Source organism: Homo sapiens, chromosome 11, assembly GCF_000001405.40.
Source record: "Homo sapiens chromosome 11, GRCh38.p14 Primary Assembly".
Lineage (NCBI taxonomy): Eukaryota > Metazoa > Chordata > Mammalia > Primates > Hominidae > Homo > Homo sapiens.
Window position 1 is genome coordinate 130,195,659 of NC_000011.10, and position 17,694 is coordinate 130,213,352.

Below are 17,694 nucleotides of genomic sequence, written 5' to 3' on the forward strand. Positions count from 1 at the left end.
CCTGGGCAACATTGTGAAACCCTGTCTCTACTAAAAATACAAAAATTAGCCGGGTGTGATGGCGGGCACCTGTAATCCCAGCTGCTCGGGAGACTGAGGCAGGAAAGTAGCTTGAACCCGGGAGTCGGAGGTTGTGGTGAGCTGAGATCTTGCCACTGTACTCCAGTCTGGGTGACAGAGTGAGACTTTGTCTCAAAAAAAAAAAAAAAGAAAAGAGGCTGGGTGTGGTGGCTCGTGCCTGTAATCCCAGCACTTTGGGAGGCCGAGGCGGGCAGATCACCTGAGGTCAGGAGTTTGAGACCAGCCTGACCAACATGGTGAAACCCCATCTCTACTAAAAATACAAAAAAAATTATCTGGGTGTTGTGGCTTGTGACTGTAATCCCAGCTGCTCAGGAGGATGAGGCAGAAGAATGGCGTGAACCCGGGAGGCGGAGGTTGCGGTGAGCTGAGATCTTGCCACTGCACTCCAGCCTGGGCGACAGAGCAAGACTCCATCTCAAAAAACAAACAAACAAACAAACAAACAAACAAACACGCTGGGAGAACTTTGCAACCTGTCTTGGTGATGGAAGGCATACCATCTCTCCCTGGTCCATGCCGCTGCCTCCCTTTGACGTCCTCAGGTTCAGGGAGGAGGGAGGGGAACTGCACATTCCCAGCAGCCTCTCTTCCCTCAGGTGCCCAACAACCAGCATGTGAAGGTGCGCTTCAAATTCTTCTACCTGCTGGAGCCCGGCGTGCCTGCGGGCACCTGCCCCAAGGACTACGTGGAGATCAACGGGGAGAAGTGAGTCCCCGGGGGTATGGGGGCTGCCGGGCCCATGCTGCAGGGGGAGGGGTCCCACCAGACCCCCAGCCCCCCGGCTCCCAGCTGTCCCTCCTCACCTTGTGCCCCGCCCCCCCTCCAGATACTGCGGAGAGAGGTCCCAGTTCGTCGTCACCAGCAACAGCAACAAGATCACAGTTCGCTTCCACTCAGATCAGTCCTACACCGACACCGGCTTCTTAGCTGAATACCTCTCCTACGACTCCAGTGACCGTGAGTGAACATTGTTGGGAGGAGGGCTGGCGGGGGCCTGCACCGCATGTTCTGTCTACCCTGCATCTCGTTAGCATCGTGCTTTGCTGATTCTAAAATGCTGGAGAATGTAAGAGCATCTCACCCCTCCCGTAGCTTTGGGAGGAAAACACGCTACCTTTGATGCATTAATGAAAGCAGGCTGGCTGTGAGCGCTGGCACACACTGTGTCCTTCTGGGTTGCAGTCCCAGCATGAGGTACCTGCGGCTGGAGACGCCCCTCATCTGAGCTTCCCCGGCCATCTGTCCCTCAGGCCCACCTTCACCGTGACTTTGATCATCTGTGCTTGCCTCTGTGGCCTGTTAGCACCGTTAGGATTCACAGTGTAATTCTGAGACACATGAGGAAGTGCCATTGGCTGTATGAGCAGTGGTTTTTCCACATATGCAATGTGTTTTTATTTCAACCCTGCGTCATAGAATAACCTTGGGAAGACATTTAACTATGCTTAGGAATCCAACTTTAAGGTAAAATTCAAGGGCCTGGCTCACCACCAAAAGTACACTTGGATGAACCAACGCCTTTGATCTAAACACTTACCTGTGACCGAAGTGTCCCTGTGCCGAGGCGGTGACAATGGTCTCCTTACAGCTTTGTCATCTGCAAAGTGGTCAGATGCCTCCGGATTTCAGAAACATTGAAATATGGAAAATGTTTAGGGTGAAGGAAGTGCGCGATGCCGCACTACATTTGGATAGGACACATCACATGCATCGGGGACCAGCTGAGCGTCACAGGCGGGGCCTGGCCCTCAGGGGCACCAGGCAGCCCAGCACACAGGGCAGGGCAGGGCAGGGCCTGCGACCAGCTGGCCTCTCTGCAGGGCACCTGGGGCTTCCTGGGCTTCGATCCTCAGTGGTGGGGAGGGACCCTGCCAGCCCAGGTTGGGGTCTGTGGCCAGCCCTCTTCCCACACTAGCTGCGGGTGCAGGAACCCCTTTGTCACAGCTTGGTGGGCCTGGGTAACCCCTGCCCTGGGCCACAGCACCTGCCCTGCTCCTGTGTGTTTGTGGCTGGGAGGTTGGCCCGAGGGAGGGAGCCGGGAGCCAGCGGAGGGAGGTGGGTGGGTGCTGGGGGCCTCAGGCCTGCCTGTGCCCGCAGCATGCCCGGGGCAGTTCACGTGCCGCACGGGGCGGTGTATCCGGAAGGAGCTGCGCTGTGATGGCTGGGCCGACTGCACCGACCACAGCGATGAGCTCAACTGCAGTGAGTCAGGCTGGGAGCCCCGGTCTCCCCACCCTCCTTCCCCACCCTGCCCGCGTCCCATGGCCCTGCTGGCTGACTGCCGAGGCAGAAAGGCCGGAGGTGGTGGGAGTTTTTGCTCTCGGCCCTGTGTAGAGACCTCTGGCCCCACTCCCCACCCTGCCATATGGAGATCTTGGCCTGTGGGGCAGGTGGTGGGGTATCTCGGAAGTGCTGAGGTCAGCTTGGTAGCTGGTGGAGCAGGGCCCCTTGGGCCTCTCTGTAGATCAGAAAGCGGTCCCCAGGTAGCTCTGATCGCCTGGGCATCCTGGGGAAGCAGTGAGTGATGAGGGCCTCACGGCCGACCTCCCCTTACCCCACTCCAGGTTGCGACGCCGGCCACCAGTTCACGTGCAAGAACAAGTTCTGCAAGCCCCTCTTCTGGGTCTGCGACAGTGTGAACGACTGCGGAGACAACAGCGACGAGCAGGGGTGCAGTGAGTGCTGGGGAGGGGCTGCCTGGGCGGGCAGGTGGGCGGGGCGACTGACGGTGGCTCCTGGTGGCTGAGTCCTGGTGCCTCTCCAGGTTGTCCGGCCCAGACCTTCAGGTGTTCCAATGGGAAGTGCCTCTCGAAAAGCCAGCAGTGCAATGGGAAGGACGACTGTGGGGACGGGTCCGACGAGGCCTCCTGCCCCAAGGGTGAGGCCCGCCCCACCCATCTTCCTGTTGGGGGCCTCGCCCCTGGAGGAGGCTGCCCTGAGCACACGCACATGCAGGACGCCCCGAGTTTAATGAACACAAACCACCTGTGTGTTAAGTGTGATGAGAAAGGGCTCTGGTTGGGGGAGAATTTTCCAGAAGGTGGAGAACCTGTAGCAGGGCAGGGAGGCCAGTGGGCGTGGGTGGGGCAGGCCTGGGTGAGGGGGTAATGTGCAGGGGCCATGAGGCGCCATTGGTGGTTTCTGGCTTCTGGTCGGATGCTGCAGAGGAATTGAGCCCCTCCCTTGTCCTCCTCCTTGAACAGTGAACGTCGTCACTTGTACCAAACACACCTACCGCTGCCTCAATGGGCTCTGCTTGAGCAAGGGCAACCCTGAGTGTGACGGGAAGGAGGACTGTAGCGACGGCTCAGATGAGAAGGACTGCGGTGAGCAGGGCATCCGAGTACGGTTGTGCAGGTTGTTCACTGTGTGAAGTGCCCACCAGAGGGTGCACCTGGAGGTGCAATCCCGCCAGCACCTCACTTAGCAGCTCTGTGCTTGGGTGAGAGGGTGTGTCTCCTGGAGGAAAGGATAGCCTTGCCAGTTGGCATGAAGGCACCACCCCACGGGCTGGCTCTGGTCTTGGAGAAAGGCCCGTACGGCCAGCATCTCAGCGCCTCTGTAGCATGGCGGGGTCGTGGCTGCAGTGCGTTGCTGGCCCCTGCTGTGTAGACACAGCTGTGGAGCAGTAGCCTGGAGAAGAGCGGCCCAGCTCACCCAAGCCCAAGGCAGGGTGTCACCCCTGCCTGCCCATACTTTAATCTGCAGCCTCTGTGTTTCAGAAGCGTTGGCTGGCCACAGGTTAGATTTGAGCACAGCTCCAGCGTTCTGTGACCTCACATCAGCGGTTCATTCGTCCCTCTCAGAGCTGTGGCCTTCAGCATTCAAAGGCGCTTCTCCCTGCTCCATGCTGCCCCCTCCCCTGTGATGTCCCAAATGATGTCAAGTCAGGCAGATGACACCCAAATCAAAGTGAAGCTGACCAGCCAGCCTCCGGAGGCCCTCGCTGCATTTGTGAGGGAGGGGGAGGTGGGAAGATGAGGGTTTGAATTTGGGAGCGGGGAGAAGGAGGGGCATGGTGGAAGGGAGTCTGTGAAGCTCAAAGATAGTTTTGGGGGTCCCTCACGCCCTGGCCACGCCAGCAGTGCTGTGCACGCCAAAAGCTGGCTTCCCCACACAGGGTCTCCTGGCACACACTGCATGTCCCCTTGTGGTTTGATGTCCCCACCTTGACTTGCTGTCCTCTGGTTCTCTGCTCCCTCTGCAGACTGTGGGCTGCGGTCATTCACGAGACAGGCTCGTGTTGTTGGGGGCACGGATGCGGATGAGGGCGAGTGGCCCTGGCAGGTAAGCCTGCATGCTCTGGGCCAGGGCCACATCTGCGGTGCTTCCCTCATCTCTCCCAACTGGCTGGTCTCTGCCGCACACTGCTACATCGATGACAGAGGATTCAGGTGGGTCTCTGGGTGGGCAGCAGGGAGCCTCCTTGCTGGCCCTTTGCATCTGGGAGTAATGCCAGGATAGGTTGGCACCGAGGCAGGGCACTGGAGGGGTGGCCACATGTGTTAGTCCATTCTTGAGTTGCTCTAAAGAAATACCTGAGACTGGGTCATTTATAAAGAAAAGAGTTTATTTGGCCCATGGTTCTGCAGGCTGTATAGGAAGCGTGGTGCCAGCCTCTGCTTCTGGTGAGGGCCTCAGGGAGCTTCCATCCATGGCAGAAGGTGAAGGGGGAGAAGGCACATCACATGGCGAGAACAGGAGCAAGAGAGAGCAGGAGGAGGTCCTAGACTCTTAAGCAGCCAGCCTCGTGTGAACTCAGAACTCACCCATCACCATGGGAAGGGCACCAAAACATTCATGAGGGAACCGTGACCAAAACACCTCCTACCACGCCCCACCTCCAACACTGGGGATCCCATTTCAACATGAGATTTGGAGGGGACAAGCATCCAAACCAAATGAGCAGATATCCCAGGACGGGGCTCAATAACAGTAATAATAAAAACTCACTGTATTCGGTGCCCACTTGCAGCCAAGTGCTGTCTCTGTGCCTCTCCTAAAACCCCCTAGCAAGTTAGGCAGCTTGATTGTATCCTCACTACAGAAAGTAAGGTTCAGAGAAGTAGGGACGTTTGCTTGGGGTGGCACAGCTGTTAAGTGGCAGAGCCAGACTTGAGCACAGGTGTGGTCTCCGGTGAGTCTGCACTGTGCAACTCCTCGGATTGGCCAACGTGAGCTTTGGATTCATGCTCCAGCTCTGGCTTGCCGGTGGCCCTGGGCAGGTTATTCAAACTTCCTAGGCCTTGGGTTCTTCACCAATGATAGTGACAGTATCAGCTCCCACCCTTAGAGTTGTGAGAATTAAATACAATGCTGTACTTGAGACACTTTGCGCTGTGCCTGGCACATAGTAGGTGCTCAGCATGTCATGGCCTCAGACACACAGACAGATGAGAGGCCTGGAAGGGTCACATGGGCATCCCAGGAACAGGGGCACAATGCCGGGCTGCGCTATTTGTGTCTTAGCTCCTGGCCTCTCTGGGCGTCTGGCTGTTGGCTGAAGGAAGGAGTGTTAGGGCCTGGCTTGCCCTGAAGAGGCAGGCACAGGGGCATGGGCCTTCCAGGAGAATCCAACCTCGGAAGAAGGGGATGCGCTTTCTGCTGGCTGCACGCTTTTCCATGGTAGGCAGCTCCAGGAGCAGGTGACCCAAGCCCTCAGCTGCCCTTTGCAGGGAGGAGAGATGGGCCCACAGCAGGAGGGAGGCCTGAGGCACAGATGGAGTGTGCTCAGACCCATGCACAGGGCTTGGGTGATGGAGATGGACAGCAAGAGCCTGTGGGGAGTGGACCCAGTTCCATGGTCCCCAGCTTCGCTGGGTGCTTGACACGTGGCTTTGTCCAGCCTGAGGCTGTCCCTTGTCTCACTGTGTCACCCAGGCTGAAGTTCAGTGGTGCAAATCATAGCTTGCTACAGTCTTGAACTCCTGGGCTTGAGCAATCCTCCTGCTTCAGCCTCCTGAGTAGCTGGGACTACAGGCACATGCCACCATGCCCAGCTAGTTTAAAATTTTTGTAGAGACAGAGCCTTGCTAAGTTGCTAAGCTTGGCCTCCACCTCCTAGGCTGAAGTGATCCTCCCATCTTGGCCTCCCAAAGTGCTGGCATTACAGATGTGAGCCACCATGCCTGGCCCAACCACTTCTCTTTGAGGTTGGCTTTTGTGCCTCTTTGATATGCCCCATTCTTTCCTTTTTTGAGCCATGTCCTTGCTTTCTGGCACTACCAGGTACAATAGGCTCATCTTATGTTTCCCCAGCCCAGCCCTAGGACCAGCCATTTCTCCAAGGAGTCCTTTACTGGGAATGGTATTTAGAGACCAAGGTCCGGTTGCTTAGTGTGTTCATTGTCACCATGGTGTCATGTCCAGGCCCAGTTAGCAGGTAGAGCTAGGAAATGGCTGGGTGCATACTAAGAACTGCCCTGCCATCCTGCACTGCTTCCTCTTTTCCTTTGCTTCGTTGCTTTCTTTCTCATTTCCTTCTCCTTCATCGTGTGTTGATCATCAGTCATGCTTCTGCCAACGAGTAGTGCAATTAATCTTCAACACCCCTGGTTACTATTGACACTAGAGAGACCAACATGAATAGGACTTGGTCCCTGCAGATTGTGGGTCACAGACTTGTAAGGGTAGGGACAAGACATGACACACATGTGCAGTAAGTGCTGTGGCAGGGCTGTGTCCAGGCTCCCTTGGGCCCAGCATGTGGAGTTTAGAATTCTAAACCCATATGCCTGAGGGACTCGGGGGGTGACTGTTGGGAACACTCAACATGGGTGTCTGAACTGAGGGTTGAAGGTGAGGGTGTCTGTCAGCTGGACCAGGTGGCTCAGACCTTCCAGACAAAGGGAGTGTCGTGTGCAGAGGCAGGGAGGTGTGAGATGTGCAGGGGCATGGTGTCAAGGGACCCTGAGCACATGGCTAAGTCATCATGCATTCATTGGGCACTGCCGGGAGGCGGCATCACGTTGCGGTTAAATGCACAGGCTGCCTAGGTTGCAGTTGTGGTCTACAGCGTGTTAGCTATATGATCTTCGGCAAGTTGCCCTCTCTGTGCTTGAGTCCTCATCTTAAAAAGCGCGACCCTACCTCACAGGACTGTTTCAGGGATAAAACAACTTACTGTGTCAGCATCGAGAATTGTGCTTGGGACATCAGAAGTTCTACCTGAGCACTAGCGATTCCCAACTGCACTCCAGCCCCTGGGGTCACCATGGGGGATATCAGTGGCTGCATCTTCACAATCAGTCTCTCAGCTGCTGGTAGACGTGCATGCCTTAAACGTTAGAGGCTGAGTCTGCTGATAGAATCAAATACTGTCAGACTTACCGATTGGCTGGGTTTGCAGACAGGGCTTCATGAAAGCGGGGTCTTGAGCTGAGGTCGCCAGGTGAACAGGGCGGGCTTGGAGGAGGGAGGTGGAAACCCGCAGGCACAGGGCAAAGAGCTGGATGGGGGTGTCCATGCTGAGTGTTGGGGTCACGGGGAATTGAGCTAGAGGGACAAGGATGGCTCTCCCCTCTCCCCCGTCCCATGAGACCCTTTCAGCTACATGCTCGCCTCCTGGGTGTTCCTGAAACATCTCTACTCTCTTCTATCTGCACTGCCACCACCTTGCTCGTCCTAGCTCACTGTAGCCTGGGCAGCTGCAGCACCCTCCCCATCTACTTCCTTCCCTCTCAGGACTCTGGTCTGCACCACTCGAGCCCAGAGGGGCCTTCCCCAAATCTGATCACCCCAATCTCTTGCTTCAGCGCCTGCCACGGCTTGCAGTATAAAGCAGGAACTCCTTCACGACCGACACGGCCACGTTATCTGGCCCCTGCCCGTCCGTGCAGTCTCAGTCTCCAGTGCAGTCCTCATGCCTTCCCCATGCTCAGTGTGAGGGTTTCCTAAATGTGCCTTTGCTCTTTTTTCTTTTTTTTTGAGACCGAGTTTCACTTTTGTTGCCCAGGCTGGAGTGCAATGGCGCGATCTCAGCTCACTGCAACCTCCGCCTCCCGGGTTCAAGCAATTCTCCTGCCTCACCCTCCCGAGTAGCTGGAATTACAGGCATGCGCCACCGTGCCCGGCTAATTTTTTGTACTTTTAGTAGAAACGGGGTTTCACCATGTTAGCCAGGCTGGTCTTGAACTCCTGACCACGGGTGATCTGCCTGCCTTGGCCTCCCAAAGTGCTGGGATTATAAGGTGTGAGCCACCACGCCCGGCCACCTTTGTTCTCTTTAAACATGCGGCATTCTCCACCCCTTCAGGCCATAGGTGGCCAGGCCTACGTGATGTCGAGGCTTGGTTCATAACTCACTTCGTTTCCGGACTCCCAGCCCATCCTCTCCCACAGCTTTCTACCCAGTCCTCTGTGGGACCCTTCTTGTCACGCTGTAATTGGTGGTTTTCATATCTCTCCACATGTACACTGTGAACCTGAAGGCTGGGTCATAGATCGCATCACAGATGCCCAGAGATTGTTGAGTGAATGAGTTGATGGGGGTTGAGTACGTGGCTGGATGTGAGCAGGCTGGGAAACTGTTAGAAAGGTCAGGTCGATTAACAGTGAACGCAGAAGGCCTGGGTGGGTCACAAGACCTCACCTGGCAACTCTTGGGAATTCTTTTAGGCTGTGGAATGGGACGCAAAGGATCTCACAAAAACAGCTTTTGGGAAGTCATTTTCTGGTGGCAACAGATTACAGTGAAGCGAGATTGGGCATAGCCTAGGTTGGAAAACTGAGCTTTGGCCTTGGCGTGCGATTCCGTGGGGAGGTGGCTGTAAGAAAGGCCAGAAGGGGGCCTGGCGCGGTGGCTCATGCCTATAATCCCAGCACTTTGGGAAGCCGAAGCAGGCAGATCACCTGAGGTCAGGAGTTCGAGACCAGCCTGACCAACATGGTGAAACCCCATTTCTACTAAAAATACAAAAATTAGCTGAGCATGGTGGCATGCACCTGCACTCCCAGCTACTTGGGGGCGGCTGAGGTGGGAGGATCGCTTGAGTCTGGGAGGCGGAGGTTGTGGTGAGCCAAGATCATGCCACTACACTCCAGCCTAGGCAACAGAGTAAGACTCCATCTCAAGAAAAAAGAAAGGCCAGAAGGTGATGGACGCTGGGGCAGTGAGAGTGGACCAGGGCTCGGGTGGGCACGCGAGTGATGTGGAGGCAGAGGCTGGGTTTAGTGCTCCGGGGTCGGGGAGGTGCCCTGGCTGGGTGGTTCAGTAACCTTTTGACCTTCCTGAGAGGTGAGGGAAAATGAAGCGGGTCTTCATGCCTTTCTCTTGTCACGCACATTTTCTATTTTAAATATGTATTTTTCCAATGTTTTATTTTGAAATTTTTCAAACCTACAAAAATGTTGTAAATACAATGAATGAAAAAAAGGACTAGTACAGTGAACACTTTTTTTTTTGAGACAGAGTCTCACTCTGTCCCCAGGCTGGAGTGCAGCAGCGTGATCTCAGCTCACTGCAACCTCTGCCTCCCGGCTTCAAGCAATTCTCCTGCCTCAGCCTCCGGAGTAGCTGGGACTACAGGTGTGCGCCACCTTGCCCGGCTAAATTTTTGTATTTTTAGTGGAGATGGGGTTTCACCATGGTGGCCTGCCTGGTCTCGAACTCGTGACCTCGTGATCCCCCCATGCCTTGGCCTCCCAAAGTGCTGGGATTACAGGTGTGAGCCACCGCACCTGGCTGTACAGTGAACACTCTTATACCTTTGATCTACATTCAGTGATTGAGTTAATCACGTTTGCTTTCTCTCTGTTTGCACCCGCATGTATTTTTCAGAACCATTTCCCAACTGGGGGCAGCCATTGTGAGGCTTCCCACCAGGTGCCTCGGCCTGTGTCTCCAAAAACACGGATGCTGTCCCACACTGAGAAATGGCGGCATTGCTTTGTGCTGCGAGCTGACGTACGCGTCATAAATGTCCTCCAATCATGCCCATCATGTTCTTCTTTAGACGTTTTTTTTTTTGTTTTTTTTTTTGAGACGCACTCTTTCGCCCAGTCTGGAGTGCAGTGGCACAATCTAAGCTCACTGCAACCTCCACCTCCCAGGTTCAGGTGATTCTCTTGCCTCAGTCTCCTGAGTAGCTGGAATTACAGGCACCTGCCACCACGCCTGGCTAATTTTTGTATTTTTAGTAGAGACGGGGTTTCACCACGTTGGCCAGGCTGGTCTCAAACTCCCAACCTTGTGATCCTCTCGCCTGGGGCTCCCAAAGTGCTAGGATTACAGGCGTGAGCCACCATGCCCAGCCTTCTTCGGAGCTTTTTAAAAAAAGTCCTAGGATGCAGTCAAGGGTCACGCCTTGTATTTAGTCATTAGGTTTCTTTAACCTCATTTTAATCAAGAACAGTTTCTCTACGCCTTTTATTTTTTGGTTTTTTATGGCATTGACATTTTTGAAAAGTTCGGGCCAGTTATCTTACAGGATGCCTCTCAATTTGGGTTTTCCCGACTGTGTTTTCATGGCTGAGTTAGGAAGCAGTGCGCGGGCGGTGCTGTACCCTACTCGGGGAGAGCAGGATCCCCCGTGAAGGGGGCTGGTCGGGAGAGGAGGCTGAGCACCTGGCTCGGGACGCCCAACAGGTTTCGCCATCATAAAGGGGCTTCCCCCTTGGTCGTGACTACACTGCAGGTGATTCTTTGAATCAGCGTGAGTGTCTCGTTCTCCAGCCGTACTTTGCCCGGCGTCTCAGCGTCCGTTGGTGATTCTCACATTGTTGATTATTATTGTGGCAGGCGCGAATGTGGTTCCTTATTGTACCGTTTCTTCAGCATTTAGGGGCTGCTCACTCTTTCTTTCTTTCTCTTTCTCTTTTCTTTTCTTTTTTTTTTTCTTTTTTGAGGTGGGGTCTCACTGTGTTGCCCAGGCTGGAGTTCAGTGGTGCGATCTTGGCTCACTGCAACCTCTGCCTCCTGGGTTCAAGCAATTCTCCTGCCTCAGCCTCCTGAGTAGCTGGGATTACAGGCACCGGCCACCACACCTGGCTAATTTTTGTGTTTTTGGTAGAGGCGGGGTTTCACCATGCTGGCCAGGCTGGTCTTGAACTCCTAACCTCAGGCGATCCACCCACCTCGGCCTCCCAAAGTGCTTGGATTACAGGAGTGAGCCACCATGCCCGGCCAGGGGCTGCTTTTTCTCTGTAAAGAATAGCTTTCCTTTTCCCTGTATAAATTCTTTTGAAATTACTTTTTAGACTCAGGGTGGACTGATGGATTACCCCACCCTTTTTTATTATTCCACCTGTGTAGTAGTGTCACCCTGTCACCACTTATTTCGGGGTTCTTATTGTCCTAACTTTAGCCAGCTTTGTGAGGCCGCATTGCTGTTTGAGTGCTCGATCGCTTCCTGCAGAAACAAAATGTTCCAGGTTGCTTTATGCTTCCCATTAAGCCCCAGATCCGAAATCAGCTGTTTTTCCAAGGAGCCCTGGTTCCTTTCAATAGAGAAGGATATTTAGACACTAAGTTCTGGGTGCTGCTGGAGACAGTATTGGTTTTAGGCCAGTTTTTAAGAATTGTGAGCCAGCGGGCACGGTGGCTTATGCCTGTAATTCCAGCACTTTGGGAGGCCAAGGTGGGCTGGTCGTTTGAGGTCAGGAGTTTGAGACCAGCTTGGCTAACATGGCGAAACCCCGTTTCCACTAAAAATACAAAAATTAGCCAGGCGTGGCTGCACATGCCTGTAGTCCCAGCTACTCGGGAGGCTGAGGCAGGAGAATCGCTTGAACCTGGTAGGTGCAGGTTACAGTGAACTGAGATCACACCTCTGTACTCCAGCCTGGGTGACAGAGTGAGACTTCGTCTCAAAAAATAATAATAAAATAAAATAAAAACCATGAACCTTTCCTGATATCTCTGATCTCATTCCACATCTGTGCCTCCCTTTCCCCCCAGTGGGGTGGGCTCCGGCTCTGCAGTGCACGTGGAAAAGCTTCTGAATTGCTAAACCTATTCCATAGCCAGCAACAAACTTAGACACAACACAACATATTTTTCAATTCATTTTGGTCTTAGGTTATATAGCACTACATTAAAAATTTATTTGGGCTGGGCGTGGTGGCTCACGCCTGTAATCCCAGCGCTTTGGGAGGCCGAGGCGGGCGGATCACAAGGTCAGGAGATCGAGACCAGCCTGACCACCATGATGAAATCCCGTCTCTATTAAAAATACAAAAATTAGCTGGGTGTGGTGGTGTGCACTTGTAATCCCAGCTACTCAAGAGGCTGAGGCAGGATAATCGCTTGAACTCGGGAGGTGGAGATTGCAGTGAGCCGAGATCATGCCACCACCGCACTCCAGTCTGGGTGACAGAGCGAGACTCAGTCTCAATAAATAAATAAATAAATAAATTATTTGGATTGATTGTTCTGTTATTCCTCCTGTGAAAGATCAGGTTCGTAAGATAACTAATTTTTGGTCATCAGATTAAAAATGTATTCAAGGAAGGGGGGGTAAAGAGTTCAAGAGGGATTTCATACTGCAGCTGGAGGCACTTAGTAGTTTCTAGCTTAGGGTCAAGACCAAGTAAGAGCCGGCCCCATCGTCTTCTCGTAGCAGCAGCTGTGCCTCATCCATGCGGAATCCTCTGGGAACGCGCGGGGCCGCGAGGCCGTGTGCACAGACCCGAGTGACCGCGCAGTCTCATAGCGGCTCTCCCTACCAGGTACTCAGACCCCACGCAGTGGACGGCCTTCCTGGGCTTGCACGACCAGAGCCAGCGCAGCGCCCCTGGGGTGCAGGAGCGCAGGCTCAAGCGCATCATCTCCCACCCCTTCTTCAATGACTTCACCTTCGACTATGACATCGCGCTGCTGGAGCTGGAGAAACCGGCAGAGTACAGCTCCATGGTGCGGCCCATCTGCCTGCCGGACGCCTCCCATGTCTTCCCTGCCGGCAAGGCCATCTGGGTCACGGGCTGGGGACACACCCAGTATGGAGGTAAGCTTCGGGCTGACCTAGGGCTCCGCAGAGGGCCTGGGGCCTTTCTCCAAGGCCGTGTTTCCTCTGCGTGTCCGGTCTCGGGGCGGGGGGCTGCTCCAGTCTCCCTCTGCCTGGCAGAATGAGGCTGTCCAGGGCGGAATGGAGGCCTTTAGTAAAAGGGGCATGGGATTTGCAGCCTGGGCTCAGGATTGAAGGTTGGCTTTGCCCCTAACTAGCTGAGTGACCTTGAGCGAGTTGCTTAAGCTCTGATCCTGTTTGTGCATGCGCGTAATGAAGATAGCAACACCTTAAGCCCAGTGGTGCTTAAGGCACGTGAGGGGGTGGGTATGAAGGGAAGCAGGCCGTTAGTTGGCAAATGCTAGATTGAAAGAATCCACTGTACAGCATATGCTGAACATTTGTCGTCTTTGGAGAGGAAAGAAAACGAACAGGACTTACAGCTCCAATGCCCTCACAGAACCCCGCGGGCATTTGCGGCGCCTTCCCTCCGCCTCTCTGCTTCTTGTTCCCTCACCCCTGCTTGCCACGGCGTCTGTTCCCTCTCAACTCGCCTGGCAGATCTCAGCATGCCCCTGCTTCCTCTAGGTGGCTGCTATTGCCAGAGCCCACTGAGTAGACGCGGATTACCCGTTTGTCAGCCCCGGGCATCTGGGCTGTTCCAGAGTTTTCTAGTCCAATGACCCGTGGGGAGCGTCTCGAATGACGCTGCCCTCGAAGCAGCCCGGCTCTCAGCCCCGTCCTGCCCTCTCCCCAGGCACTGGCGCGCTGATCCTGCAAAAGGGTGAGATCCGCGTCATCAACCAGACCACCTGCGAGAACCTCCTGCCGCAGCAGATCACGCCGCGCATGATGTGCGTGGGCTTCCTCAGCGGCGGCGTGGACTCCTGCCAGGTGGCCCCCGGGGCAGGAGGGCGGCAGGTGGGCCCCGGGAGAGGCGGGACTGGGGACTCACGGCAGGGCTTGTCTCCGCCCAGGGTGATTCCGGGGGACCCCTGTCCAGCGTGGAGGCGGATGGGCGGATCTTCCAGGCCGGTGTGGTGAGCTGGGGAGACGGCTGCGCTCAGAGGAACAAGCCAGGCGTGTACACAAGGCTCCCTCTGTTTCGGGACTGGATCAAAGAGAACACTGGGGTATAGGGGCCGGGGCCACCCAAATGTGTACACCTGCGGGGCCACCCATCGTCCACCCCAGTGTGCACGCCTGCAGGCTGGAGACTGGACCGCTGACTGCACCAGCGCCCCCAGAACATACACTGTGAACTCAATCTCCAGGGCTCCAAATCTGCCTAGAAAACCTCTCGCTTCCTCAGCCTCCAAAGTGGAGCTGGGAGGTAGAAGGGGAGGACACTGGTGGTTCTACTGACCCAACTGGGGGCAAAGGTTTGAAGACACAGCCTCCCCCGCCAGCCCCAAGCTGGGCCGAGGCGCGTTTGTGCATATCTGCCTCCCCTGTCTCTAAGGAGCAGCGGGAACGGAGCTTCGGGGCCTCCTCAGTGAAGGTGGTGGGGCTGCCGGATCTGGGCTGTGGGGCCCTTGGGCCACGCTCTTGAGGAAGCCCAGGCTCGGAGGACCCTGGAAAACAGACGGGTCTGAGACTGAAATTGTTTTACCAGCTCCCAGGGTGGACTTCAGTGTGTGTATTTGTGTAAATGAGTAAAACATTTTATTTCTTTTTAGGTAAGTTTCTTTTCCTACTGGAGTTGCGCCCTCCTTCCTCCTTTTTCCTACTCGATTTGCAAGAAATTGGATGTACATTCCCCTCAGCACAGACCCTGGAGTCAGGCTGGGTGGGGCCCACAGTGCCGTTGCCTTCTCTAGGCCAGCAAGGGGCTGGTTTTGCTCTGACCTGTAGCTTCCAAGACCAGGGGCCTGGTGCCCTGGTAGGAGGGAAATGCGGGTTGGCGAGGTGGGGAGACGAATGTTGGGGGGTGCACTGGTGCCCAGGCCTGGGTCCAACCTAGGAGAGGGAGGAGCTTTGTCAGAGGAAGATGGGCGGAAGCGTGGCTTCGTGTTTGGTGGGGAGGTGGCCCTGTGAGCGCACACACTCACGGGGACAGATGTGAGTCTGGGCATGAAGACCTGGCTGTCTCTCTAGTGAAGGCTGAGCAGATGGGTCCCAAGGCCTTGGAGGAGGGGTGCTGCCTGGCTGAAGGGCACCCACACCTCCCGTGCCATCCCCCTTGATTTTTTCTTTTTTCTTTTTTTTTTTTTTTTGAGTCAGGGTCTTGCTCTGTCACCCAGGCTGGAATGCAGTGACATGATCACAGTTCATTGCAGCCTCAGTCTCCTGGGCTCAAGCTATCCTCCTGCCTCAGCCTCCTGAGCAGCTGGGACTAGAGGTGCCCACCACCACACCTGGCTAAGTTGTTTTTTTTTTTTTGTACAGACAGGGTCTCACTATGTTTCCCAGGCTGGTCTCGAACTCCTGGGCTCAAGTCATCTTCCCGTGTTGGGCTCGTGCTGAGCCACCACCCCCAGCCTCCCTAGATTTTTACTTAATAATTTAAAATATTTCCTCTCTTCTTGCTTGGTGGCCTGAAGGGACAATGTCAACAATCTGGGGAAGGCTTAGGGAGCTTTTGGGGGAACATTTGAGGGCTTCTTGTATGCTGATGCGCCACATGGGCTTGGGGCAGGGAAGAGGACCTGGGGAGAGAAATGACATGGCCAGTGTCAGGAGGGCAGAAGGTAGCCTTGGCTCACCGCTATGTCCCCAGCTCAGGCTTGTCTTAGAACATGCTGATATGTGTTTGTTCAATGAATGGTTTTTTGCCTGCCATGAGTTATGGAAACAAAAAGGAGGAAATATAGTCTGATTGGAGCAACACTGCAAGGCTTCTCGGGGGAGGTGGGGTTTGCAGAGCCTCTTTCATTTTAGCCTGAGTGTTTTACCTCTTTGAGGGAGGGAGTGTTGCCTAGAACCTGTGCGAGAATCTGTCGCATTTTCCTCCCTGGGGAGGGAAAGAACATCTGTTCTTACCAAGGCGTGGGAAGTAGAATGAGGATGATGCTGAAGGACTCCTGTGCGTGTTGTAAATGTCATTCCTTTTCTGCCCTGACATGGTCATTCCCACCTGATCGCATCGGACAGAAGTGCCCAGTGCAGGCGCTGAGGGAATGGTCTATGTTAAATGGAGAGGTTTCACGAGGCCTGTGTGTGGTCTGGTTCCTAAGTGTGCGTGAGCCTGGCAGCCGGGGCTTGGCCGGGGTGTAGACATGGTCATCCATGCAGTGGGATTCAGGGAGGCCAGCCCAGCCCGTGCCACTGCACCACCCTCAGCTCCATTGTGGCTTGACAGTGTTCTGGACTGCTCACTCCCCCCGGTCAGATTCCCACCCGGGGAGCAGGTGAAAACACAGATGGCTAGCCTTCAGGGTCATCCCACCCTTTCCGGGACTCTCTGCGGGAGGTCTGAGTGGGACAAGGCGTGTCGTCTGTGGCAGTGTTTCTCTCGGGAGGTCCCTGGGCAGGAATATCGAGATCTCCTGGGACTCATAGGTGCAGAGTCTCATGCTTCATCCAGACCTCCTGAACAGAAACTGGTGGGCCCGCTGGGTGGGGCCAGTGGCCTGTGCTCTAAGAAGCGTTCCTGTGAGGTTGGAGAGCACCGTTTTAGCAGTGGGTCATGCCATTCCAAGTGCCACGGAGCAGCAGCATCACCAGGTGCTCCATCAGATGCCCAGAGCCGCAGTTTGCAGGACATCCTTGGTCCTTGGGGGATCCTGGAAGCCTGCCTGAATGTCGAGAAGCATTTGAGCCCTGGAAAATCAATCATGTGTCAGTGCCTTTAAAAAGATTATGGGGCCAAATCCTGTGTTACTTCTGGCTGGAGTTCAGAAGATCAGGCTGAGACTCCCTAACTCGCCAGAGGCCAGACACATCACGCAGGCCCCGCGCCGATAGCTCTCACGAAGGCAGAAGTCTCTGGTCCAAGAGCCTGAGCTGACAGGGTGGGAATACCAGCAGGCTAGAGCCATTCCTCCTTGCTGAGGATGGCAGTCCAGACCTGCAGCAGCTGGGAGAGGCCAGAGGCCTGCGTAGGTCTGTGCTGACCAGCCTTTCCTTCACCCAGGTGAAGGCCACAGCAGAGGTCTGAAGGGTTAGAGGAGGAGGTGGGAGGGCCAGGCTGAGGGCCCCACGTGCACAGGTGCCCTGCACAGCAAGCTGGCCTCACAGGGGAAGAGTGCAGGGCTGCTGCTGCGCTCCCACAAGCTCAGTGCAGCCCCGCAGAGGCTTTCCCCTACTGACTAGCTGCTTTCGTTGCTGAGATCTCAAGATGATCCAACTCTCTGATCCCCCTAAACTACCTTGTATCGCCATTGTTTTAGCTAGGAATCATAACCATGTAAATTTAATGAAAATTTAACCCGACTCCTGCTTATTGCAGCCATGGCGAGTCCTACTCAGACCTAGAGTCTGCAGGAATCACAGTGAAATTTGGATTAGGAAGGACTTTATGGAAAAGGAAATGTTTAAAATCCTGGGCCCAGTTTGGAGGTCTCCAGAGACCTAGCGCTACGGACCCCAGGGGCTGAGAAGCTGTTGTTCAGGTCGACGGCCACACGGTGGCGATGTTGCGCCGTTCCAGGGCGTGGGCGCTCACGGGTGGGGCGGGGTGTCCGGGGCCGTCTGTTGTTGGCGGCTGCCTTCTGCTGCTTCCCAGTC

At 55.1% G+C, this 17,694-nt stretch overlaps 1 protein-coding gene across 1 annotated transcript in view, besides 2 other annotated features; it reads left to right on the forward strand.

The window, feature by feature from the left end:
- ST14 (ST14 transmembrane serine protease matriptase) overlaps positions 1-14,704 on the forward strand; it is a 50,581-nt gene extending 35,877 nt beyond the window's left edge. Inside the window, exons 10-19 of the mRNA NM_021978.4 lie at positions 681-790; positions 912-1,042; positions 2,183-2,287; positions 2,650-2,760; positions 2,850-2,963; positions 3,289-3,411; positions 4,293-4,479; positions 12,752-13,026; positions 13,784-13,920; positions 14,004-14,704. Of these exons, the coding sequence (NP_068813.1) occupies positions 681-790; positions 912-1,042; positions 2,183-2,287; positions 2,650-2,760; positions 2,850-2,963; positions 3,289-3,411; positions 4,293-4,479; positions 12,752-13,026; positions 13,784-13,920; positions 14,004-14,165 (1,455 nt within the window). The 3' untranslated portion in view covers positions 14,166-14,704. The remainder of the gene's footprint in view (positions 1-680; positions 791-911; positions 1,043-2,182; positions 2,288-2,649; positions 2,761-2,849; positions 2,964-3,288; positions 3,412-4,292; positions 4,480-12,751; positions 13,027-13,783; positions 13,921-14,003) is intronic.
- Positions 2,448-2,949: an enhancer, noted in NCBI's record as "H3K4me1 hESC enhancer chr11:130068001-130068502 (GRCh37/hg19 assembly coordinates)". NCBI's record gives its function as "activates a minimal SCP1, AML or CMV promoter by ChIP-STARR-seq in primed H9 embryonic stem cells {active_cell/tissue: H9 hESC(primed)}" and the evidence as "EXISTENCE:reporter gene assay evidence [ECO:0000049][PMID:30033119]".
- Positions 13,952-14,451: an enhancer, noted in NCBI's record as "H3K27ac-H3K4me1 hESC enhancer chr11:130079505-130080004 (GRCh37/hg19 assembly coordinates)". NCBI's record gives its function as "activates a minimal SCP1, AML or CMV promoter by ChIP-STARR-seq in naive H9 embryonic stem cells {active_cell/tissue: H9 hESC(naive)}" and the evidence as "EXISTENCE:reporter gene assay evidence [ECO:0000049][PMID:30033119]".